The sequence below is a fragment of the Homo sapiens genome, chromosome 10, assembly GCF_000001405.40.
Source record: "Homo sapiens chromosome 10, GRCh38.p14 Primary Assembly".
In the NCBI taxonomy this organism is placed as follows: domain Eukaryota; kingdom Metazoa; phylum Chordata; class Mammalia; order Primates; family Hominidae; genus Homo; species Homo sapiens.
Window position 1 is genome coordinate 86,593,593 of NC_000010.11, and position 25,022 is coordinate 86,618,614.

Sequence of the window (25,022 nt, forward strand, 5' to 3'; positions counted from 1 at the left end):
CACACCTATAATCCCTGGTATTTGGGAGACTGAGGTGGGAGGATTGCCAGAACCCAGGAGTTCGAGCCTGCAGTGAGCTATGATTGTACCACTGCACTGCAGCCTGGGTGACAGAGTGAGATGAAGGGAAGGGAAGGGGAGGGGATGGGAGGGGCAGGGCACAGTGGCTCATGCCTGTAATCCCAGCACTTTGGGAGGCCCAGGCCGAGGCGGGCGGATCACCTGAGGTTAGGAGTTCAAGACCAGCCTGACCAATGTGGTGAAACCCCATCTCTACTAAAAATACAAGAGTTAGCCAGGCATGGTGGTAGGCACCTGTAGTCTCAGCTACTTGGGAGGCTGAGACAGAAGAACTGCTTGAACCTGGTAGGCAGAGGTTGCAGTGAGCCAAGATCATGCCACTGCACTCCAGCCTGGGTGACAGAGTGAGATTCTGTCTCAAAAAAAGAAGAAAAGAAAAGAGAGGAAAGAAAGAAAGGGAAGAAAGAAAGAAAAGGAAGGAATGAAGGAAAAGGATGAAAGAAGGAAAGGGATGGAGGGGAAAGAGAGAAAGGAAAAGAAAGAAAGAAAGAAGAAAAAGAAAGAAATAAAGAAAAAGAAAGGAAAGAAAGAAAGAGAAAAAGAAAGGAAAGAAAGAAAGAGAAAAAGAAAGAAGAAAGAAAAGGAGGAAGAAAGAAAAGAAAAGAGGGAGGGGGAGAAGGAAGGAAGGGAGGAAGGAGAAGAAGGAAAGAAGAAAAGAAAAAGGAAAAGAAAGAAGAAAGAAAACGAAAGAGGGAGGGAAGGAAGGAGAGGGAGGGGGAGGGAGGGGGAGGGAGGGGGAGGGGAGGGGAGGAGAGGGGAGGGGAGGGGAGGGGAGGGGAGGGGAGGGGAGGGAAGGGAAGGGAAGGGAAGGGAAGGGAAGGGAAGGGAAGGGAAGGGAAGGGAAGGAAGGGAAGGGAAGGGAAGGGAAGGGAAGGGAAGGGAAGGGAAGGGAAGGGAAGGGAAAAGCAAGCTTCCTAGGAAGGCAAGGGAAAGGAAAAGCAAGCTTCCTAGGCAGGACAACTCAGCAGAGTCATGGCATTAGGAGAGGACATGATGCAACAGTCCGTGGAGGTTGTGGTTGCCAGGGAAAAGGGGCAGAGGGAGGTTGAAATATACAAAGTTTATTGGAGGATGACATAAACGTCCTGGAATTAGATAGCAGTGATGGTTCTATGACAAGTTTGTCCAACCAGAGGCCCGCAGGCCACATGTGGCCCAGGACATCTTTGAATGCGGTCTGGCACAAATGTGTAAACTTTCTTAAAACATTAGGAGATTTTTTGTGATTCTTTTTAGCTCATCAACTATCGTTAGTGTTAGTGTATTTTATGTGTGGCCCAAGACAATTATTCTTCCCATGTGGCCCAGGGAAGCTAAAAGATTGGACACCCCTGTAATGTACAAGATTGTGAATATACTAAAAATCTCTAAATTGTACACTTTAAAATGGTTAAAATGGTAAATTTTATGACTTGCGAATTTTTTTTTTTTTTGTGATTGAGTCTCACTCTGTTGCCCAGGCTGGATTGCAATGGCGCAATCTTGGCTCTCTGCAGCCTCTGCCTCCCGGGTTCAAGCTATCCTCCTGCCTTAGCCTCCCAAGTAGCTAGGATTACAAGCACGTGCCACCAGGCCCAGCTAATTTTTGTATTTTTAGTAGAGATGGGATTTCACTGTGTAGGCCACTGACCTCCTGACCTCAAGTGATCTGCCCACCTCAGCCTCCCAAAGTACTGGGATTACTGGCATGAGCCACTGCACCCAGCCAACTTGTGAATTTTGTCTCATTTTTTGTCATTGCCTGTTTTGGTTTTGTTTTGTTTTGTTTTTTGAGACACAGTCTTGCTATGTTACCCAGGGTGGTCCTGAACTCCTGGCCTCAAGCGACTCTCCTGCCTTAGCTTCCCGAGTAGCCGGGACTACAGACAGTGCTAAATTTGCCCAGCTTAAATTGTATCTCAACATTTTGAAAAAAGTTAAAGACACCACAATCCATGGTGACCTGACAAGAAGGAGCCAGGGAAATAAGCACCTGACAGCCCCACTCCCACTCCACTTTCCAGATACCCGCTGGTGCCTCCTGCTGACAGAACGCACCTGGGTCAGGGCACTGACACACAATGTGTTTGGATCTGCCTCCCAAGGGACAGGGCAGGGTGGAGAAATGCAAGGGTACACCTGGGGAAATAAATAGAAGGATATTCAGTAAAGCTCCTTGGGTAGCATTTTAGAAGTTTCTAGTAACATTGACACACTGACACTGTACATGTAATGTAATTCAGCAGTTGTTGATACAAGTCAGGGCCTCCCTGGGAAAGGAAGGAATGAGGGGGCCAGTGAAACCAAACCAAGTTGGAGACCTCATAAAGTTCAGGTGCTGGGGTGCACTAATTCTCCCTATTGACTCAGTCATTGAGTCACTTGACTTGTGATTTGAAGAGCTGAAAAGAAGGAGTTCTTCCATTGGACAGCCAAGCCCTGGCTGGTGAAGAGCAGATATCCTTACCTACAGGCCCATGGCAGACACAATACCATGTGCTCACCAAACCGATTTATTTTTCTCCTGGGCACACAGGAGAGCTATGTTTCCCAGCCCCCTAGCATCATGTCGAATTCTGGCCAATGGAATGCGGGGAGAAGTGATGTGTGCCTTTTTCAGGGGTGGCTCTTCAAACTTTTCATGCAACCATCCATGTTCTCCCCTTGCCTACCAGCTGGCTGGATGCAGGAGAAGAGTCCAAGATTCCTGGGGACAGTGGAGTTACTGGATAGAGAGCTTGAATTCCTGACTCATTGCTTGCAGGAGAGCTGCTTAACTGGGCACATCTGGGTTGGACTTGGCATGAACCAGTGGTGAGAAATGAGGTCTCAGTCCAACAGCCAACGGGGAATTAAGGTTGGCCAACAACAACATGAGTGACCTTGAAATGGGAGCCTCCTCCAGTTGAGCCTTCAAATGACTGCAGCCCGTTGGTGGCACATGCCTGTAGTCCCAGTTACTCAGGAGGCTGAGGCCGGAGGATAACTTGAGCCCAGGAGTTTGAGGCTGTAGTTATGACATTATGATTGTGCTTGTTAATAGCCACTGCACTCCAGCCTGGGCAACAGAGTGAGACCCCGTCTCTTAAAACAACAACAACAACAACAACAAAACTGCAGCCTGAGCCAATATCTTGTCTGCAACCTGATGAGAGATACTGAGGCAGAACCCAGTTATGCTGCTCCTGGATTCCTGACCCCCATAACCATAGATAATAAATGTTTGTTGTTTAAAGCTGCTAAATCTGGGGTTAATTTGTTATGCGGAGATAGATAACTAATACAGTAATACAGTTCATTTGTCATTTTTTTTGTTTGTTACAGTGGGTAAATCTTGGACCCATTTTGGAACCTGTTTTCATTCAAGGTGTGAGGTGTAGACCAAACTTTCTTTTTTCAAAAGGATAGTCAATGGTCTCAATAATATTTATGGAATATCCATCCTTTCCACAGACTTAAAATGCTACTTTCATTTACTACCTCTGGTATTATAGTGAAGCTTTTGGTGTCTTGGTATCTAGACTCTCTTTATCAGGATGGTACACAACCCCCAACCCCTTGTAGCTGACAGCTCATATTTGCATTTTTTTTTTTTTTTTTTGAGATGTTCACCTTCTCTGCCAACACCTGCAAGGCCCTCGCCTTGAGGCTGGAAGACGAAGGTGCGGTCTGAGGCCTCCCGTGGCATAGCCCATGTGAATTTGGGGGAGCAAGCCTGGCTGAGTGTTCCTCCTGACCCGGCTGGGACACCACCATGCACCCAATCCACCTTGAGCCCTGCTCGCCTTCCACGTGCAGCTGCTGAGGACAGAAGGAAAGTAAGCACTCCAGCCCGGCTCTGCCTTCTCCCACCGCGCAGACTCTGCCTCGGCACCTGCAAGAGGAGGTGACTAGGAACTGACACCCCTGGCACCTTCACCGATACCCTGTTACCTGCTGTGTGCACCCGGACCTGAACAGATGCGCTCCCGCCTGGCTTAGCTCTCTGTGGCTGTTCTCCCTCCTTTCGGTCATGCTCCTTAATTGGACTCCCTCCAAGGCACTGTTGGTTCCTCTTTTGTTTTGTCTTTTGTTTGTTTGTTTGTTTGTTTGTTTGTTTGTTTTGAGATGGAGTCTCGCTCTGTCGCCCAAGCTGGAGTGCAATGATGGCAAGATCTCTGCTCACAGCAACCTCCACCTCCCGGGCTCAAGAGACTCTCCTGCCTCAGCCTCCTAAGTAGCTGGGATTACAGACAGGCACCATCATGCCCAGCTAATATTTTTTGTATTTTTGTAGAGACAGGGTTTCACCATGTTGGCCAGGCTGTTCCTGAACTCCTGACCTCAGATGATTCCTGCCTCGGCCTCCCAAAGTGCTGGGATTATAGGCGTGAGCCACTGTGCCCGGCCGTTTTGTCTTGTTCTTAAGGAAGATTCAGCCTCACAGCACAAGCATCGGCTCGTAGAGTAGAAATTTCCCAGACAGAGAGCCTTTTAAAATAAAAATATACCTCTTTGAATTACCATTTTGTTGCTACAGCAATGCTATAGCAGTATGAGGAGGTGGTAGGGGGTGGGTGGGTATTTTTCCAAAAAGAAAGATGTCTTGGGGCCTATTAATTGCCCTGCCCAAATGTTCTCACTGCAGTGTGACCACATCACCAGCTGTTGTCTGTCTCACTTACAGAAATTCAGAAATGCTGGCATCATCAAGACATCCCCAATGATGAGATTTCTGGGTGATGTAAATCCACAAACTTTTAGGCTTTGCTTTAGTCAGGGTCCTGGCAGGAAAAAGATGATGCACTCAAACTGAGTAATTGGAGGAAGCTTTGATAAGAGACTGTTTAGAAACCTGTGCGCAGGGCCTAAGGACTCCAGCAAGGGCTACTGCAGTGCCTCAAGGTTGGGAACAGCTTGACCAGGAGGGGCAGGAGATGGAAGAGATTATGGAAGAGGAGAGTGTAGTATATGGAGAGGGACACTAGACAAGGGGTATGGCATTTGGTGAAGGGACACAACCAACTTATGGCAGAGGGCACAACCCAGCAGGAGGAAAGCTGGAAATACTCACCTGCCCTCACTTATTCCCTTCCACCCATCTCCTGTGGTCCTTCCCGCTGGCCAAGCCCATCTGCAAGTGTTACAGGGAAGGGGTCTCGATCTACACCCCAAGAGAGGGTTCTTGGATCTTGTGCAAGAAAGAATTCAGGGCGGGTCCATAGAATACAGTGAAAGCAAGTTCATTAGGAAAGTAAAGGAATAAAAGAATGGCAACTTCATAGGCAGAGCAACCCCAAGGGCTGCTGGTTGCTCATTTTATGGTTATTTCTTGACGATATGCTAAACAAGGGGTGGATTATTTATGCCTTTTGTTTTTAGACCATATAGGGTAACTTCCTGACGTTGCCATGGCATCTGTAACTGTCATGGCACTGGTGGGAGCGTAGCAGTGAGGACGACCAGAGGTCGCTCTCATGGCCATCTGGTTTTGGTAGGATTTAGCTGGCTTCTTTACTGCAACCTGTTTTATCAGCAAGTTCTTTATGACCTGTATCTTGTGCCAACCTCCTATCTCATCCTGTAACTTAGAATGCCTTAACCGTCTGGGAATGCAACCCAGTAGGTTTCAGCCTTATTTTACCCACTCCCTACTGAAGATGGAGTTGCTCTGGTTTAAATGCTTCTGACAGAGCACATGAATGCAATCTGTAGAGTGGGTCTGGAGGGCAAATGAAAGTCATCTAGCACAGACAGGTGGCTGAAATAAGCAAGCTACCGATATACTATTTAATGTATTATTTAGTTACTCCTCAGGAATTACAATCACATTTGTTGGATATATAGCTTTTCCACAAAATGATTTTATTTGCTCATGGACCATCGGGAGAAATTTCAAGGATGTTGAACCTTAAAAGGAACTCATAGGTAGATCTCTCCATGGAGGATCCATCGTACAGATGCAACACCAAGTAAAGTGTCTTGGACAAGGTTTCACACAAGTTTATGATTGTCCCGGGAGTAGAGTCCAGGCCACTGGTTCTGTTTGCCATATTCTGACACCCAGGACAGGCCACCACAGGCCCTCCATGGCTCTCTTCTACAGAGGTGCCAGACCCTGCCTGCTCATTTCCCAGTTTCCCAGAGAAATTCAAGCAGAGGTCTTTCTCCCACTTCCCTCTGTGAAGGCCTGTGAAAGGTGTCAGTGAGACAGGCAGGCAGGAAGGGCTCCCTGGCAGAGCCTCTCCCCGACCTGCACATTGGGAGGAGTATACACTGGGGTGGAGCCACAGAAATTTGTGCCATTTGCAGCGGGGAGGAGCCTGGTCCCTCCTCTTTCTGTGTGGAACTTGAGATTCAAACTGCGAGGCAGGAAGTGCACCAGCAGGGACTCTGGCCTGGCGGAGAGTCCCTGTTCCCCTTTTGTACCTTTTTGCCTAATAAATCCCATTATTCTCACCCTTCAAATCACCTGCAAGCCTAACTTTTCATGGGCATGGGACAAGGACCCTGTCTTTACCTGAACTAAGGAAAAGTCCTGCAAAAGCAGGGCCAGGGTCCTCGACTAAGGGCAGACACCAGACTTTGAAGTCTGGCTGCTCTGAGGCCCTGGGTTCCTTCTGCAAATTTCTGGGCACTCTATTTCATCCGGCAAACCATTGTTGGGCTAGAGGATGCTGCTCCTGCTGTTCTTGCCTGAATATTGGACATCGGGAGCCAAAAGCACAGCCCTGGTTGCATTGTTTTACATGACTTGTAAACTTATCCTAGCTCAAGGCTCAGCTCAAATGCATCTTCCTTCCCCTGATAGAAATGTGTCACTTCTTTTGCCTGAATTGAAGCCATGAATCCATTGTTCTGAGTCATTGTCTGTCTTCTGCCATGAGCGTGGGAGCACAGGCATCATGTCATGTCCATCTTGGCATTCCCAGTAGTTGGCCTCCTTTCTTAGACCTGGGAGAACTTTTGATTACCATGTGAATCTCCTGGGATAAGAGCTGTATTCCAGAGTGGAAAAGGTGTGATTGGCCTTGAGAGTAGAGAATGGGTGTATTAGCCCTGGGAAGAGGGGGAGTGTCAGCTCCTGTATTGCAGGAAAGGCACTTCTCTTGCTGGGTTAGGTCAGGTTGCACAGACATCTTAGACCTGGCTTCTGGTGGAGGGACAAAGGGGTAACCACCACAGTTATGCCTAGGAGACAGTGGAAGAGGGCGAGTTACTCTGGTGTGTGCAATTCTGGGTGTGGCTTCCCTGAACTGCTAGGAACTGGTGGGAAACACTGCAACAGGTGTGGGAGATGCTGATTATCTTAGTCTGTTTTCTGTTGCTTAAACAGAATACCTGAAAATAGGTAATTTATGAAGAAAATACAAGTATTTCTTATAGTTATGGAAGCTGAAAAGTCCAAGGGCTGCATGCATTTAGCAATATGCATTTCAGGTTCCTCTGTGTCTTCTCATGGTTTGATAGCTCATTTCTTTTTAGTGCTGAATAATATTCTAAGGCAGTGCAGGGTTTCACATGGCAAGGGGCTGAACGTGCTAATGTGCTAGTTCAGGTCTCTCTTCCTTTTCTCTTTTCTTTTTTCTTTTCTTTCTTTCTTTCTTTCTCTCTCTCTCTTTCTTTCTCTCTCTCTCTTTCTTTCTCTCTCTCTCTCTTTCTTTCTTTCTTCTTTCCTCCTCCTCCTTCTTCTTCTTCTTCCTCTTTTTTTTTTTGAGATGGAGTTTTGCTCTTATCACCCAGGCTGGAGTGCAATGGTGCGATCTTGGCTCACTGCAACCTCTGCCTCCCATGGTTCAGGTGATTCTCCTGCCTTAGCCTCCCAAGTAGCTGGGGCTACAGGCATGCACCACCATGACTGGCTAATTTTGTATTTTTAGTAGATACGGGATTTACCATGTTGGCCAAGATGATCTCGAGCTCCTGACCTCAGGTGATCCACCTGCCTTGGCCTCCCAAAGTGCCGGGATTACAGGCGTGAGCCACTGCACCCGGACTCTCTTCCTTTTCTAATAAAGCCACCAGTTCTACTCCCATGAAAACCCATTAATTCATTAGCCTATTAATCCATGAAGGGATTAATCTATGATCCAATCACTTCTTAAATGCCCCACCTCCCAATACTGCCACACTGGGGATTAAGTTTCCACGTGAGTTTTGGAGGGGACATTCAAACCATAGTACTAACTTAGACAAGGAGGAAAGCCATCTCTGATGGAAGGTACCGTGATCTTGGAGGGGCCACAAGTAACTGAAAAATCATGTTACCCAAACCTTTGATTTTGTAACATAACTTAGAAAGTAAAGCTCAAAAAAGTTTTCTGAGCTGGTGGAGTTACGCAGAGGCCAGGGCGAGAAACCCTGGGAGGACAGGGGAGTGGATCAGTCAGTGTGCAGCAGGAAACAGATGACACACTAAAACAGGGAAATTGAGGAGAGTTTACTGAATGGGATCATTTACAATTGTACGGGCAGCTTCAAGGGAAAACAGCAAAATGGTGCAGTCTCCTGGGGCTAGTAAGAGGAGGAAGCTGTTGGCACCCCTAGGCCTGAAAGAGCAGGGGCTGGAGGAATCTGGATAGGGAAGATATAGAAGAGGGCCTCCTCAGGAGGGGATGAAGCAACCATGGTGCCCTGGCCTGGACTGAGTTAGGAGGGTAAGTACTCCAGCCTCACTCCCCTCCTGCCCTCTGCTCTCTTGCCTGTGCCTCCAACAGGAAGCAAAGAAACTTTGCTGTAGTCCACATGTCAGCAAAACTATAGCCAGGAATCCAAATTCAGCTTGCCACCTGTATTTACATGACCTTTGAGCTGAGAAATGCTTTTTACATTTTTGAATGGTTGACAAAAACACACTCTTACCATACAACTCAGCAGTCATGCTCCTAACCCAAAGGAGCTGAAGACTATGTCCACACAAAAACCTGCATATTCATGTTTATGGCAGCTTTATTCATAATCAGCAAAACTTGGAAGCAAACAAGATGTCTTTCAGTGGATGAATGGATAAATAAACTGTAGTACATCCGAACAATGGAATATTATTCAGCACTAAAAAGAAATGAGCTATCAAGCCATGAGAAGACACGGAGGAACTTTAAATGCATATTGCTAGGTGAAAGAAGCTAATCTGAAAAGGTTATACATTGTGTGATCCCAACAATATGATATTAATGTAAAGGCAAAACTATGGAGGCAGTAAAAGAATTAGTAATTGCCAGGGGATAGAGGGGAAGAAAAGATGAATAGGTGGAGCACAACGGATTTTTAGGGCAGCAAAACTATTCTGCATGATACTAAAATGATGGATACATGTCATTATACATTTGTCCAAACTCGTAGAATGAATAACACCAAGAGTGAACCCTGATATAAATTACAGACTCTGGGTAATAACAATGTGTCACTGTAGATTCATTAATTGTAACAAATGTACCAATGTGGTGGGAGATGTTGATTTGAGGGAAGACTGTTGTGGGTGGGTATATGGGAACTCTGCACTTTCCACTAAATTTTGCTGTGAACCTAAAACTGCTCTAAAAAATAAAGTCTTTTTTTTTTATAATTCCACTAGATCACTGGAAAAATTAAGTCTTCTTAATCAAAAGAAGAATAATATTTCATAACATAAAATTACAGGAAATTTAAATTTCTGTGTTCATAACTAAAATTTTATTGGAATGCAGCCACGCCCAGCCCATTTGTTAATATTTCTATAGCTGCTTTCAGGCTACAACAGTAGGGTTGAGTAGTTGCAACAGAAACCATATTCCCACAAAGCCTCAAATATTTGCTAACTGGCATCTTACAGAACAACTGTGTTCTTATCTATCCACTTTCCAAGGCACAGAGTGGATTGAATGTCGAAGGCAAACAGAACATTTTCAGCCAGAGTATTGGTCACAAAGGCCAAAGAACTGTGTCAGGTAGTTGTGATGTTTTTACTTTTAGCGCAACCCATGCAACTTTTAGACCGTTCCATTCAAGTTACCAGAATCCCATTTAGGCACTGAGGTCTCTCTGCTTTTTTACCTCAGGGCTTACAGTCAGTGGATAATTCTCTAACCTCCCCATCCTTTGGTGGGCTCATTGTAGAAGGACTTCAGGGGATCGGGTGCAGTGGCTCATGCCTGTAATCCCAGCACTTTGGAAGGCCAAGGTGGGCGGATCACTTGAGGTCGGGAGTTTGAGACCAGCCTGGCCAACAAGGTGAAACCCCGTCTCTACTAAAAATACAAAAATTAGCTGGGTGTGGCAACGCGCACCTGTAGTCCCAGCTACTTGGGAGACTGAGGCAGGAGAATTACTTGAACCTGGGAGGCAGAGATGGCAGTGAGCCAAGATGGCACCACCGCCCTCCAGCCTGGGTGACAGTGTAAGACTCCACCAAAAAAAAAAAAAAGTACTTCAGGGATCCCCAGTGGGAATGAGCTCAGTTGCCACACCAGCTCATCACCTTGCCCTTAATTAGCTTTCTTGCCTTTGTTTTCTCTCTTTCCCTCGCCTACATTTCTGCTTCCTGACATAATTTCCTAAGTAAACTGCGTACAACTTTTCTCAGGTCTTGGTCTTATGGGAACTCAAAGTAAGAGAATAATATTGTTCTATGTTGTTTAAAGCATTGCTTAATTATTTGGAATTCCAAACACATGCAAATTTTCTACTTATATTTTTGTTATTGAGCATTTAATTATTTTGTGATCAGAGACCATACTCTGTGGTTACTTCAAGCCTTTGAAATCTATTGAGACTTGTTTTATGGCCCAGCATATGGTCAATTTTTGTAAAAATTCTTTGTGTCCTTGAAAAGAATGTGAATTTTGCAATTGTTAGGTGCAATCCTTTATATATACATGTTTTACCAAGTTAATTGTGTTATTCAAATCTTATATATCTTTACTGATTTTTTTTTCTGATAATTCTGTCCATTCGGAGGTGTGTGTTAAAATCTTCCACTATGTTTGTGGATTTGTGTATTTCTTATTATAGTTCTCTCAATTTGTGCTTTATATATTTCAAGGCTTTGTTTATTAGGTACATGTAAGTTTAGAATTGTTATATCCTTTTGGTGATTTAAATTTTCTATGCTTATCACTGAAACTTTTTTTTGCATTAAAGTTTTTTTTTATGATATTAACATACTATTTTATCTATTGTTATACAACAAATCACCCTAAAACTAGCAGCTTAAAACAATAATGACATAGTTTTGCTTATAAATCTATAATTTGGGCAAGACTCAGTAGGGATAGTTTCATCTCTGCTCCATTTAGTGTTAGCTGGGTTGGCTCAAAGACTGAGGACTGGAATCATCTGAAGATTTATTTACTCGTATGTCTGGTGGTTGTGTCTGGTTGTGGGCTGGAATCCTAGCTGGTTGTTGGCCTGAATACCTACATATGGCCACTTCTTGGTTCCCAGGGTCTGCATTCTTTTTTTTTTTTTGAGACGGAGTCTTGCTCTGTAGCCCAGGCTGGAGTGCAGTGGCATGGTCTGGGCTCACTGCAAGCTCCGCCTCCTGGGTTCACGCCATTCTCCTGCCTCAGCCTCCCAAGTAGCTGGGACCACAGGCGCCCACCACCACGTCCGGCTAATTTTTTGTATTTTTAGGAGAGACGGGGTTTCACCGTGTTAGCCAGGATGGTCTCGATCTCCTGACCTCGTGATCCGCCCACCTCAGCCTCCCAAAGTGCTGGGATTACAGGCTTGAGCCACAGCGCCTGGCTGGGTCTGCATTCTTAGAGAAAGAATCAAGCAGAAGCTCTATTGTGTTTTATGACCTACCTTCTAAAGTCATGCAGTACCACTTTCACTATATTCTGTTCATCAAGGCAGTCACAAAGGCCTGTCTAAATTCAGGAGAAGGTGAAATAGACTCTTAATGAAGGAGTGTAAAAGTTCTGGAAGAACATGTAGAACCAGAAATATTACTTTTGCATTTTTGGAAAAACACAATTTTCTACATATAACTATACCAGTTTTATTTTGATCAGTATTAGTGTGGTATACCTTTTTCTATTCTTTTACTTTCAAACTTGTTATATCCTTATGTTTTAGATGTGTTTCATGTAAACAGAATATATTTGGGTTTTGCTTTTTCATTCAGTCTGACAATCTTTGAATTTTAACTAAAACATGTAGTCCATTTACATTTAATGTAATTATTTGTGTATTTGGGTTCAACTCTACCATCAAACTATATGATTTCTATTTGTACTGTCTTCTTAGCACTCCTTTTAAAAAGTATTTTCTTGTGTTCTTTTTGCATGAGTTAATTAATTTTAAATTAAGACATTCATGTTTATCTTAGATATTATGGCATGTATCTCTGACTTATTAAATACTAATATTAATTAGAATTTTACCTCTTCCCAGGAATGCAAGGACCTTAGACTATTTTAACCCCATTTACCACATATACAATTTTTGTGCTATGTGATAGATTTTAATTCTACATTTCTTTAAAACCCTACAAGATTTTTTTTTTTTTTTTTTTGAGACGCAGTCTCACTCTGTCGCCCAGGCTGAATGGAGTGCAGTGGCTTGATCTCGGCTCACTGCAAGCTCCGCCTCCCGGGTTCACACCATTCTCCTGCCTCAGCCTCCCGAGTAGCTGGGACTACAGGTACTCGCCACCACGCCTGGCTAATTTTTTGTATTTTTAGTAGAGACGGGGTTTCACCGTGTTAGCCAAGATGATCTCGATCTCCTGACCTTGTGATCCACCCGCCTCAGCCTCCCAAAGTGCTGGGATTACAGGCATGAGCCACCGCGCCCGGCAAAACCCTACAAGATATTATAATTGTTGTCTTACACAGCCAATATTCATTAGACTTATCCAAATAACTACCATTTCATTGGTTTTCTTTTCTTCCTGAATCTCCAATCTTTCTTCTAGAATCATTTCCCTCTATCTGAAGAGATGAGACCTGTTTAGTTTTTCCTTCAGTGTGGTCTTCTGAAAGCAAATTATTTTGTTTTTGTTTCCCTAAAAATGTGTTTATTTAAACTTCATTCTTGGCTGGGCATGGTGGTTCATGCCTGTAATCCTAGCATTTTGGGAGGCTGAGGCAGGTGGATCGCTTGAGCCCAGGAGTTTGCGAACAGCCTGGGAAACATGGTGAAACCCTGTTTCTACAAAAAATACAAAAATTAGCCGGGCATGATGGCAGGTGACTGTAGTTCCAGCTACTCAGGAGGCTGAGGTAGGAGGATCACCTGAGCCCAGGAAGTTAAGACTGTGGTGAGCCGTGATCATGCCACTGCAATGAGTGGCATGAGTTTGGGTGGGAGAGTGAAACCCTATCTCAAAAATAAAAATAATATTTTTTTTGAGACAATCACCCTCTGTTACCCAGGCTGGAGTGCAGTGGCACAATCTTGGCTCACTGCAACCTCTGCCTCTTGGGTTCAAGCAATTCTCCTGCCTCAGCCTCCTGAGTAGCTGGGATTAGAGGTGCCCACCACCACACCCAGATAATTTTTGTATTTTTAGTAGAGATGGGGTTTCACCATGTTGACCAGGCTGGTCTCACACTCCTGACCTAAAGTGATCTGCCCACCTCAGCCTCTCAAAGTTCTGGGATTACAGGTGTGAGCCAGTGTGCCCAGCCAAAAAATTTCATTTTTGAAGGATATTTTACTAAATATAAAATTCTAAGTTGTTAATTATTTTCTTTTATCACATTAAACATAATTTCACTGTCTTCTGGATTTTGTAGTTGCTAATAAGAAATCAGTTGTCAGTCTGTCTGTTCCTCTGAAGATAATCTACTTTTTTCTGTTCTGCTTGTTTTTAAAATTTTCTCTTTATTTTTGGTTTTCTGCAGTTTTACAATGAAGCATCTGGGTGTGATTTATGTTAATGCTGTGTATGGCTGGATGTAGTGGCTCACCCCTGCAATCCCAACACTTTGGGAGACTGAATGGAAGGATTGCTTGAGGCCAGGAGTTCAAGACCAGCCTAGGCAACTTAGCGAGACCCTGTCTCTACAAAAAAAAAAAAAAAAGAAAGAAAATTAGCAGAGCATGGTGGCTCATGTCTGTATCCCCAACTACTCAGGAAGCTGAGGTGACAGAATCACTTGAGCCTGGGGGTTCAAGGCTGTAGTGAGCTATGATCACACCACTGCACTCCAGCTTGGGTGACAGAGTGAGACTCTGCCTCTAAGTAAATAAATAAATTAAGTACTGTGTGTGATTTTGGGGGCTTCTTGAATCTGTGGACTGATATCTTTCATCACCATTTCTGCATCATGTCCTTGAATCATCAGTTCTGGAAGTCTCATTCATTATTCAAGTATTGCTTTTGCCCTATTTCTTCTTTCTTCTGGAATTCCAATTAAATGTATATTGGTCTTTCTTACTGTGCCCTCTATGTCTCTGATCTTCTCTTCCATTTGTCATCCATTTATCTCTCTGTGCTCCATTCTGGATGAATTCTTCTAACTTGTCTTATTTATTTACTCTGTTTTTAGACTCATCCATTGAGTTTTTAATTTGTGTTATTATGTTTTTTAGTTCCTGAATCTTCAATGTCTGTTTTTATAGTTTCCAATATTTTGCTGAAATTTTTGAGTTCAGTTTTTAACCCTATGATGATAGTAAGATAGTTTTTTCCCCCTCATCTCTGTCTAATAATTCCACTATCTGGAGTATCTGTGAGCCTCTTTCTGTTTTCTATTGTTCCTGCTTACTTTTGTTCTTATTTTATTTCTTGTTATGCCTGGTTATCTTTGATTGTGTGTTAGAAACTGTACTTGAAAAATTTATTGGAGCAATTTTAGTACTAGGATGATATCATCTTCCTTTAGAAATGATTTTCATTTACTTTTGCAAATGTGTGGGGACATTAGCAATCCAGGACCATTGTAATCCATTTTAGTGCTTGAGATTTTTCTGAATCACCCAGATTTCTTGAAACTGAGCTACAGTAAAGGGGAAGGCTAGTTTACTTTTTGTTTACTTTTACTTTCAGGGTTTAGTCAATCAAAATTCCACTTCTAAAGTATGGGGTGGTTTTCCAGAGTTACCCTTCCCTTGGAAAGGCCGAGCCTCCTCAGTGTTTTAACTACCTTTTCTGATTGACAAAAGTGGCCCAAATGCTGAGCTCTTCTCTCTGGATTTCTACCAAGGGATATTGACCCTTGACAATTTCTTGCAACTTGTTAGCTTTTCTTTGTTTTAGAAAGAAGCTTTTTGTTTGTTTCTGGTTTGTTTTGAGACAGAGTCTTACTCTGTTGCCTGGGCTGGAGTGCAGTGGCACAATCTCGGCTCACTGCAGTTTCCACCTCCTGGGTTCAAGCAATTCTCATGCCTCAGCCTACCGAGTAGCTGAGGCTACAGGCATATGCCACCATGCCTGGCTATTTTTTGTATTTTTAGTAGAGACAGGGTTTTGCCATGTTGGTCAAGCTGGTCTAGAACTCCTGGCCTCAAGTGATCCACCTGCCTCAGCCTCCCAACGTGCTGGGGTTATAGGCATGAGCCTCCACACCTGGCCAGAAGCTTTTTATATTCCATATGGATTATTTCAGTTGTGTTTGGTGGGAGGGTAGTTCCAAATTATCTAGTTAACTATTTCTGTATGTGAAAGTTCTCTACTTGCTCTAACATTGAAGAATACCTTGGTATCTCTTTAGGGGACTGATGAATGCAGGAGGACAAATACCACAGATGATCTGCAATCGTATATAATAATACAAAGTAGACTGATTTTGAGTTTTTTTCTTGTAATTCAATACTGTGGCCCTTAAAACTGTACATAATAATTTGCTCCAGAATTTCTGATCCCAGAAAGCTGCCTATGGAAATAATTAATTATAGATGTTTGAAATTATTCATTTATAAAGGAATTTTTAACAAAACTGGTAATTAACAGAAGACTAGTTAAAATAAAATAGGCTTCTCTCATAGGATAAGATATTGCACAGCCATTAATACTATAGGATAATATCTAATGGCATAGAGAAGTCATACCATAATGAGAATTGAAACTAGTCAATCATAATATGAACCCTTTTAATATAGTTACATATGCTGGAAATATCACTGAAAATATATTGACTAAAATGCTAAAAGTGGTTATCTCAGGGTTGTGAGATAACTAGTGCTTTTATCTACTGCCTTTTGCTTTTTAATATTTTTGTAATTTTGAAAATTATATACTTATAATTTTCTAAAATGAACATTTATCACTTTTGTAATGGAAAGTGAACTACAAAATAAAATGCTACAAGTGAAACCAGATGTTTTTATTATGTTGTGTTGGAAAATTTATCAATGTAAATAGCCCATAATTTAGATTAAAGAAGTCTTTTTGAATATCTAATATATGTCAGCCTCTTTCATACATATATTTTCACTAATGCTTATAAGTGCTCAATTTTCAGTCACAATGTAGTAATTAGTAATTGAAACAATCTAGACTGTTCAAAAGGAAGTCAAGTGGACAGATTGATTGGTACAAGGTGAATGGTATGATTTTCATAGTCAGCAAATTCCTCCAACAAAGGCCAGATAATGGGCAAGGTGAGCTCTTCCAGACATTATAATTTACCCTAATAGGATAGATGTTGAGTTATAAAAATGTCATAAATACTGTAAAAATGAGAAATATGAGAATGGAAAAATAACAGCAATATTCATATACTCTACTGCAGCAATAGTTAACATCTTGGAATATGCAGGTGATTGGATTATTGATTCCAACCATCTGCTTCCTTTCCTGTAAGAGGATTATACATGTGATCTGCAGTGGCTTTCCAAAGTCAGAGTATAGTTCTTTGACCTGCTTTGGCCAATGGGATGTGAACAGGAGTAATATCCACCACAGATGAGCCAAACCTTTAAGAGCTATTAGATGTTTCAGCTCTATCCTGTTTGTTTCCCTTTGCCACAAGAATGACATGTCCTAAAAAGAGGCTGCTCCTTCAGGCTAGCCCTGGAATGAGATGATACATGAAGCAGAGCCACCACCACTGATTTGCAGACACCAACATGCAATGTGAATGAGAAATAAATGTATATTATAGTAAGCCATGAGATTAGGTGGTGGGGGGTGCTGTTTGTTATCACAGCAAAGCTGACTAATACATTGTTTCCTCAAAAATACAATAGCAGCTCTCTTAACCAAGCTCCACTTAACTGACTTTCCAGATTGACACATGTTCTCCTTTCCTTCCTTTTTTTTTCTAACTTTTCTTTTGAGAAAGTCTTACTCTGCTGCCCAGGCTGAAGTGGAGTGGTGCGATCATAACTCACTGCAGCCTCGACCTCCTGGGCTCAAGAAATCCTCCCACCTCAGCCTTCCAAGTAGCTGGGACTACAGGCATGTGCCACCACGCCCAGCTATTTTTTTTTTTTTTTTGAGATGGAAACTTGCTCTGTCACCCTGGCTGGAGTGTAGTAGTATGATCTCAGTTTACTGCAACCTCTGCCTCTTGGGTTCAAGCAATTCTCCTGCCTCAGCCTCCTGAGTAGCTGGGATTATAGGTGCAAGCCACCACACCTGGCTAATTTTTGTATTTTTTAGTAGAGACGGGGTTTTGCCATGTTTGGCTGGTCTCTATCCCCTGCCCTCAGGTGATCCACCTACCTTGACCTCCCAAAGTGTGGGATTACAGGTGTGAGCCACCATGCCTGGCCAGCCAATTTTTAAATTTTTTGTAGAGGTGGGGTCTCACTATGTTGCCCAGGCTGGTCTTGAACTCCTGTGCTCATGTGATCCACCTGCTTCAGCCTTTCAAAGTGCTGGGATTACAGGCATGAGCCACTGTGCCCAGCTCTCTTGTCTGTCTTTAAAACATATTGACAATGTCCATGGCACATTGCATACTCAAAGCTTGTAGGCCACTCTCCAGGATAGGTGCTCACTGCTGCCTGATCAACTGACCAAGTGCAAGTCCTAATCCAGATCAAGACAGGTGAGAGGGTTGTGCAACAAACCAGTTTGAGGTTCTGGAGTGGTTGGCTGTGACGCAGTATCACATAATTGTCAAGTGAGAGAGCTTGGGAATAAAGCTATGCAAGACCAGATCCCAACTCTACCTTTAGGGGGTGTGTGCCTTTGGTCAAATTATTGAGAGACAGGACTAGCTGGATTTTCTAGGCCAACTAAGAATCCCTAAGCCTAGCTGGGAAGGTGACTGCATCCACCTTTAAACACAGGGCTTGCAACTTAGCTCACACCATTCAGGTGGTAAAGAGAGCGCACTAAAAAGCTAATTAGGCAAAAACAGGAGGTAAAGAAATAGCCAATCATCTACTGTCTGAGAGCACAGTGGGAGGGACAATGATCTGGATATAAACCCAGGCATTCAAGCCAGCAACGGCTACCCTCTTTGGGTCCCCTCCCTTTGTATGGGAGCTGTTTTCACTCTATTAAATCTTGCAACTGCACTCTCTTCTGGTCCGTGTTTGTTATGGCCGGAGCTGAGCTTTTTAGCTCACCGTCCACCACGGCTGTTTGCCGCCTTTGCAGGCCTGACGCTGACTTCCATCCCTCCGGTTCCGGCAGGGTGTCCGCTGTGCTTCTGATCCAGCAAGGCGTCCATTACTGCTCCCAATCTGGCTAAAGGCTTGCCATTGTTCCTGCACGGCTAAGTGCCCAGGTTCATCCTAATCAAGCTGAACACTAGTCACTGGGTTCCACAGTTCTCTTCCATGACCCATGGCTTCTAATAGAGCTATAACACTCACCACATGGCCCAAGATTCCATTCCTTGGAATCCCTGAGGCCAAGAACCCCAGGTCAGAGAACACGAGGCTTGCCACCATGTTGGGAGCTCTGGGAGCAAGGATCCCCCGGTAACATCACTAACACAGACACCAATATTGAGAGTTACTGGTTTTCAAAGAATTCAAAGAATCTTTCAGTGAAGAAGAAATTGTTATCTGGTTTTTATAATGCTTCTCATACTACAATTACCTAAGTTTAAAAACCAAACTTTTGCAAATATTTTATTTTGTTTTATTTTTCACTGTGGAGGATGTCATACTTAAAATTAGAGAAAATGGCATAATCCTCCCCCAGGTACTCATGACCTAGCTTGACTAATCATCAGCTGTGGCCAATCTTGTTTCCCCTAGTCACTTGTCTCCCTATTCCAACACATACACGCGCTTACTCCCTGTCTTCTCTTCAATTCTTGCACTGGGCTGTTTAAAGGAAATTCTAGACATCGTAATTTTTTTTTTTTTTTTGAGACAGCGTCTCTCTCTGTTGCCCAGGCTGGAGTACAATGGCATGATCTCGGCTCATTGCAACTTCCACCTCCCAAGTTCAAGTGATTCTCCTGCCTCAGCCTCCCAAGTAGCTAGGACTACAGGCATGTGCCACCATGCCTGGCTAATTTTTTTGGATTTTTGTGGAGACGGGGTTTCACCATGTTGGCTAGGCTGGTCTCGAACTCCTGACGTCAGGTCATCTGCCCGCCTCAGCCTTCCAAAGTGCTGGGATTACAAGTGTGAGCCACTGCGCCCAGCCTGTTGCTATGACTCTTAAAACTTTTCTCAAAGTTTCCCTCTTTTTTTTTTTTTTTAACATAACCCCTGTAAATCCTTTGTCCATGAGTAATCCGTTGTGACCATGTTGCAAATGTCAGGGTCCTTAGCTTTTCTCACCCTTTAGTGAACACTGCTTTGGGTGTTCCCTTGGTGTCAGGCCAGCCTCACACCTCCGGTGAGTGGTCACGCAGGCAACCATTTCCACCTACGTTAAGTGCATCATCTGAAAACTCATTTCCTTGAGACCTTTATGATAGTAAGTAGGGAATTGAACTCCTCAAGGCTTTTTGGTCTTGTTGGTCTCAAGAAAGGAGGTTTTCAAGAAACCTGTTGGATGACTCAACATGAGGCTCCAGGGGTGATAAAGACCCTGAGGTCCCTGATCCATGTAGAAGTTTTAGAAATAAAATTGTTTCAGAAAATGTAGAATGGGCAAATGCAGCATGTATAAATGGAAATATTACTTTCTATGATATGCAATTTAAAGTGTGAGTAACTAAATAAACTAGATATACATAAATATAACTATTTTTTCTTTTCTTTTTTTTTTTTTTGTGACAGAGTCTCGCTCTGTCTCTCAGGCTGGATTGCAGTGTGCAATCTCGGCTGACTGAAACCTTTGCCGCCCAGGTTCAAGCAATTCTCCTGCCTCAGCCCCCCCGAGTAGCTGGAACTACAGGAGGGCACCACCACGCCCAGCTAAATTTTGCATTTTTGTAGAGATGGGGTTGGCTTGTCTCTATACCATGTTGACCAGGCTGTTCTCGAACTCCTGACCTCAGGTGATCCACCCACCTGGGCCTCCCAAAGTGCTGGGATTACAGGCTGAGCCACTGCGCCCAGCCAACATAACTACTTTTTCTATGACTCAGAAGTTTTGTATACTTGTGATGAACTAAAGTTGGAAAAACTGAGCTTTGCATAAGGAGCAGTCTTGCCTGGGGTTACATAAGGTGCTGTTCCAGTTATAAGACAGACTCATGCCCTGAGACGGCCCCGCCTCCCCTCGTCCTGCTACGTTATGTCTTTGACTTTGTGAAGTCACTCCTCCTGTCACTGCCCTTGATCAGGTCTCTCACATGCCTCACATAAAGAACTCTGTGAAGATCCCCTGGATTTGGTCCCTGGTTATTGGCCATCCCCTGGTACCATCCGGTTTACCTGCTTTTATCTGAGTCTCTGCTGGCTTCCCACCAACTCACTTCCCCTAGCTGCACACACCCTTCATGCTACGTGGGAGCAATTGTTGACATGAAAATTCAAAAAGATGAGACAAATACAACTCCAACAACCTCAAGCCTCAAGAGTCAGAGAGTTAACTTCCTTTTCATTTCCTCCCTTAGCCAGGAGGGGTGTTCCAGTGGCTTCTGCTTGGCTTTTCCTACTGCAATAGACTTATCCTCTAAGTCAGGGAGCAATTCCATGGCAGTGAGGCCATCTGCTCCATCTACACATCCAAAAACTGGAGAAATGACCCTGAATGATTGCTGCTGCCCTATGCCTTGGGGCTGTTGTTGACTCTGATTAGTTTCATTTATCACCTGATACTGTGAGAACCCTGATTGGTGAACCAACCTGGTGGTCTGTGTATCAAGGAATTGCTTTTATCACAGAGCCACGGTCAATTGTAACAGAAAATTTTGGGGATTACTCTTCACTTGGCACAGTTACCTGCCAAAATCATCACAGATTCTTTTGTGGAAGACTAGCAGAAAGGTGCACACTATGTACTTGTCCTATTAAAGCTCGCCAGGGGCCTCTTAAGTCTGGAAATGGAATGGGTGAGGGGCTGCAACTCTCGTGAAGCTGGGCCTCAAGTTACCAGACCTAGGTACATTTGATTATATGGTTCATATGCAATTGGAGTAATGCTGTTGACCAAATATTTCCCATGCTCCACCTTTGGGGCACATGGTTAGTTGCACTTCCTGGTTCTGTTGTGGTTGGGTGGGACCACATGGCTAGTCCTGGCCAATCAGTTGTAAACAGATGATGTGCGTCACTTCAGGGCCAGAGCATCTAATTACCAATTTATCACCCTCTGGAGCTCTCTGTCTTTTCGTTTTTGAGTTGGGCAATGTTCAAGATTATGACTGCTCCATCAGCCTAGTTCCTAGCATGAAAAGATGGAAAGTGAAGAGGCCCCAGCAACAAATAAACATCCAGCACGAATAAGAAATAAATCTTTCTTGTTATTATGTTATTCTATGTTATGTTATTCTATGTCATTATGATTTTGACATAGCCTAGCATATCTTGATTGATACAAAAATTGATGCCTAGAGATGAAGGATCTTTACAAAAACCGGGTTTTGTGGCATTGGCTTAGGGATCAGGTGATGGGGCAAGGAAACTAATTTTGGAACTGGTTTTCCATTGGTACATTTGACAAAACCATCACCCACAATAACTTGAAAGGTAGATAATAAACCTTGCATGCTTGTAGCTCCAGGAGAAGAGACTAGAAAACAAAATATTAATGTTGGCTGCATATGACATGCTAATTTAAGGAAGAGATGTACCAAGAAAACAATGAATTAATTTGTAGGGCAGGAATGGAAGGGAAAAGAGAGTATAGAAACTCAGGAATTTGCAGGATTGGGAGTCGATTTTTTTTTTCTTTTTTTTTTTTTGAGATGGAGTCTCGCTCTGTCGCCCAGGCTGGAGTGCAGCGGCGTGATCTTGGCTGACTGCAAACTCCGCCTCCTGGGTTCACGCCATTCTCCTGCCTCAGCCTCCCAAGTAGCTGGGACTACAGGCACCCGCCACCAGGCCTGGCTAATTTTTTGTATTTTTAGTAGAGACGGGATTTCATCGTGTTAGCCAATGTGTTTTATTTCCAATTAATAAACTATAGAATTTAGAGGAAGTTTAAACAACAAAAAAGACTATTAGAACTCATATTTCAGGCAAGGATCCAACCAAGATTATTTCTGTCACATCCATCATTAAAATCTCTGAATAGATTTAGTTGTCACCCAGTAAATCCTCTCAACTGGATGTAATGGTTCAGGAAGAAAAGAACAAAAGTGCTGCCCTCTGTATTAGTTCGCCAGGGTTGTCATAATAAAGTACCAGAAACTGGGTGATTTAAACAACAGAAATTTGTTTTCTCACACTTCTGGAGACTAGAAGTGCAAGATCAAGGCGTTGGCAGGGTTGGTTTCATTATGAGGCCTCTCTCCCTTGCTTCTAGATGGCCATCTTCTTCTTTTGTCTTCTTATTGTCTCTCCTTCATGTGTGTCTATGTCCTTTTTTTTTTTTTTTTTTTTTTTTTTTTTTTGAGATGGAGTCTCACTCTGTCGCCCAGGCTGGAGTGCAATGGTGCCATCTTGGCTCACTGCAGCCTCCGGCTCCTGGATTCAAGCAATTCTCCTGCTTCAGCCTCCCAAGTAGCTGAAATTACAGGCACATGCCACCACATCCAGCCAATTTTTGTATTTTTATTAGAGATGGGTTCTCACCATGTTGGCCAGGCTTGTCTTGAACTCCTGACTTCACCATGCCTTGGCCTCCCAAAGTGCTGGGATTACAGGCATGAGCCACCACTCCCGGCCTTGTCCTAATATATTTTTATAAGGACACTGGTCATACTGGACTAGGGTCCACCCCATTTACCTGATTTGAACTTAATTATCTCTTTAAAGACCCCATCTCCAAATACAGTCACATTCAGAAGTATTGGGAGTTAGAACTTCAACATGTGAAATTCAGGAAGATATAATCCAGCCAATAACACTCTCTCACTGTATTAGTCCATTCTCACACTGCTATAAAGAACTACCTGAGGCTGGGAAATTTATAAAGTAAAGAGGTTTAATTGACTCACAGTTCTGCAGGCTTAGTAGGAAGCATGACTGGGAGGCCTCAGGAAACTTACAATCATGGCAGAAGGTGAAAAGGAAGTAAGCACCTTCTTCTCATGGCAGAGCAGGGGAGAGAGAGAGAGTGAAGGGGGAAGTGCCATATACTTTTTTATTTTATCTTATTTTATTTTATTTTATTTTATTTTATTATTATTATACTTTAAGTTTTAGGGTACATGTGCACAACGTGCAGGTTTGTAACATATGTATACATGTGCCATGTTGGTGTGCTGCACCCATTAACTCGTCATTTAGCATTAGGTGTATCTCCTAATGCTATCCCTCCCCCTCCCCCCACCTCACAACAGTCCCCAGTGTGTGATGTTCCCCTTCCTGTGTCCATGTGTTCTCATTGTTCAATTCCCACCTATGAGTGAGAACATGTGGTGTTTGGTTTTTTGTCCTTGCAATAGTTTGCTGAGAATGATGGTTTCCAGTTTCATCCATGTCCCTACAAAGGATGAATTCATCATTTTTTATGGCTGCATAGTATTCCATGGTGTATATGTGCCACATTTTCTTAATCCAGTCTATCGTTGTTGGACATTTAGGTTGGTTCCAAGTCTTTGCTATTGTGAATAGTGCCACTATAAACATACGTGTGCATGTGTCTTTATAGCAGCATGATTTATAATCCTCTGGGTATATACCCAGTAATGGGATGGCTGGGTCAAATGGTATTTTTAGTTCTAGATCCCTGAGGAATTGCCACACTGACTTCCACAATGGTTGAGCTAGTTTACAGTCCCAGCAACAGTGTAAAAGTGTTCCTATTTCTCCACATCCTCTCCAGCACCTGTTGTTTCCTGACTTTTTAATGATTGCCATTCTAACTGGTGTGAGATGGTATCTCATTGTGGTTTTGATTTGCATTTCTCTGATGGCCAGTGATGATGAGCATTTTTTCATGTGTTTTTTGGCTGCATAAATGTCTTCTTTTGAGAAGTGTCTGTTCATATCCTTCACCCACTTTTTGATGGGGTTGTTTGTTTTTTTCTTGTAAATTTGTTGGAGTTCATTGTAGATTCTGGATATTATCCCTTTGTCAGATGAGTAGATTGCAAAAATTTTCTCCCATTCTGTAGCTTGCCTGTTCACTCTGATGGTAGTTTCTTTTGCTGTGCAGAAGCTATTTAGTTTAATTACATCCCATTTGTCAATTTTGGCTTTTGTTGCCATTGCTTTTGGTGTTTTAGACATGAAGTCCTTGCCCATGCCTATGTCCTGAATGGTATTGCCTAGGTTTTCTTCTAGGGTTTTTATAGTTTTAGGTCTAACATTTAAGTCTTTAATCCATCTCGAATTAATTTTTGTATAAGGTGTAAGGAAGGGATCCAGTTTCAGCTTTCTACATATGGCTAGCCAGTTTTCCCAGCACCATTTATTAAATAGGGAATCCTTTCCCCATTGCTTGTTTTTCTCAGGTTTGTCAAAGATCAGATAGTTGTAGATACACGGCATAATTTCTGAGGGCTCTGTTCTGTTCCATTGGTCTATATTTCTGTTTTGGTACCAGTACCATGCTGTTTTGGTTACTGTGGCCTTGTAGTATAGTTTGAAGTCAGGTAGCATGATGCCTCCAGCTTTGTTCTTTTGGCTTAGCATTGACT

General features: G+C 43.2%; 2 annotated features.

The window, feature by feature from the left end:
- Nucleotides 3,878–4,378: an enhancer, noted in NCBI's record as "H3K4me1 hESC enhancer chr10:88357227-88357727 (GRCh37/hg19 assembly coordinates)". NCBI's record gives its function as "activates a minimal SCP1, AML or CMV promoter by ChIP-STARR-seq in naive H9 embryonic stem cells {active_cell/tissue: H9 hESC(naive)}" and the evidence as "EXISTENCE:reporter gene assay evidence [ECO:0000049][PMID:30033119]".
- Nucleotides 6,441–6,490: an enhancer, noted in NCBI's record as "active region_3693". NCBI's record gives its function as "activates an Ori minimal core promoter by ATAC-STARR-seq in GM12878 lymphoblastoid cells {active_cell/tissue: GM12878}" and the evidence as "EXISTENCE:reporter gene assay evidence [ECO:0000049][PMID:35858748]".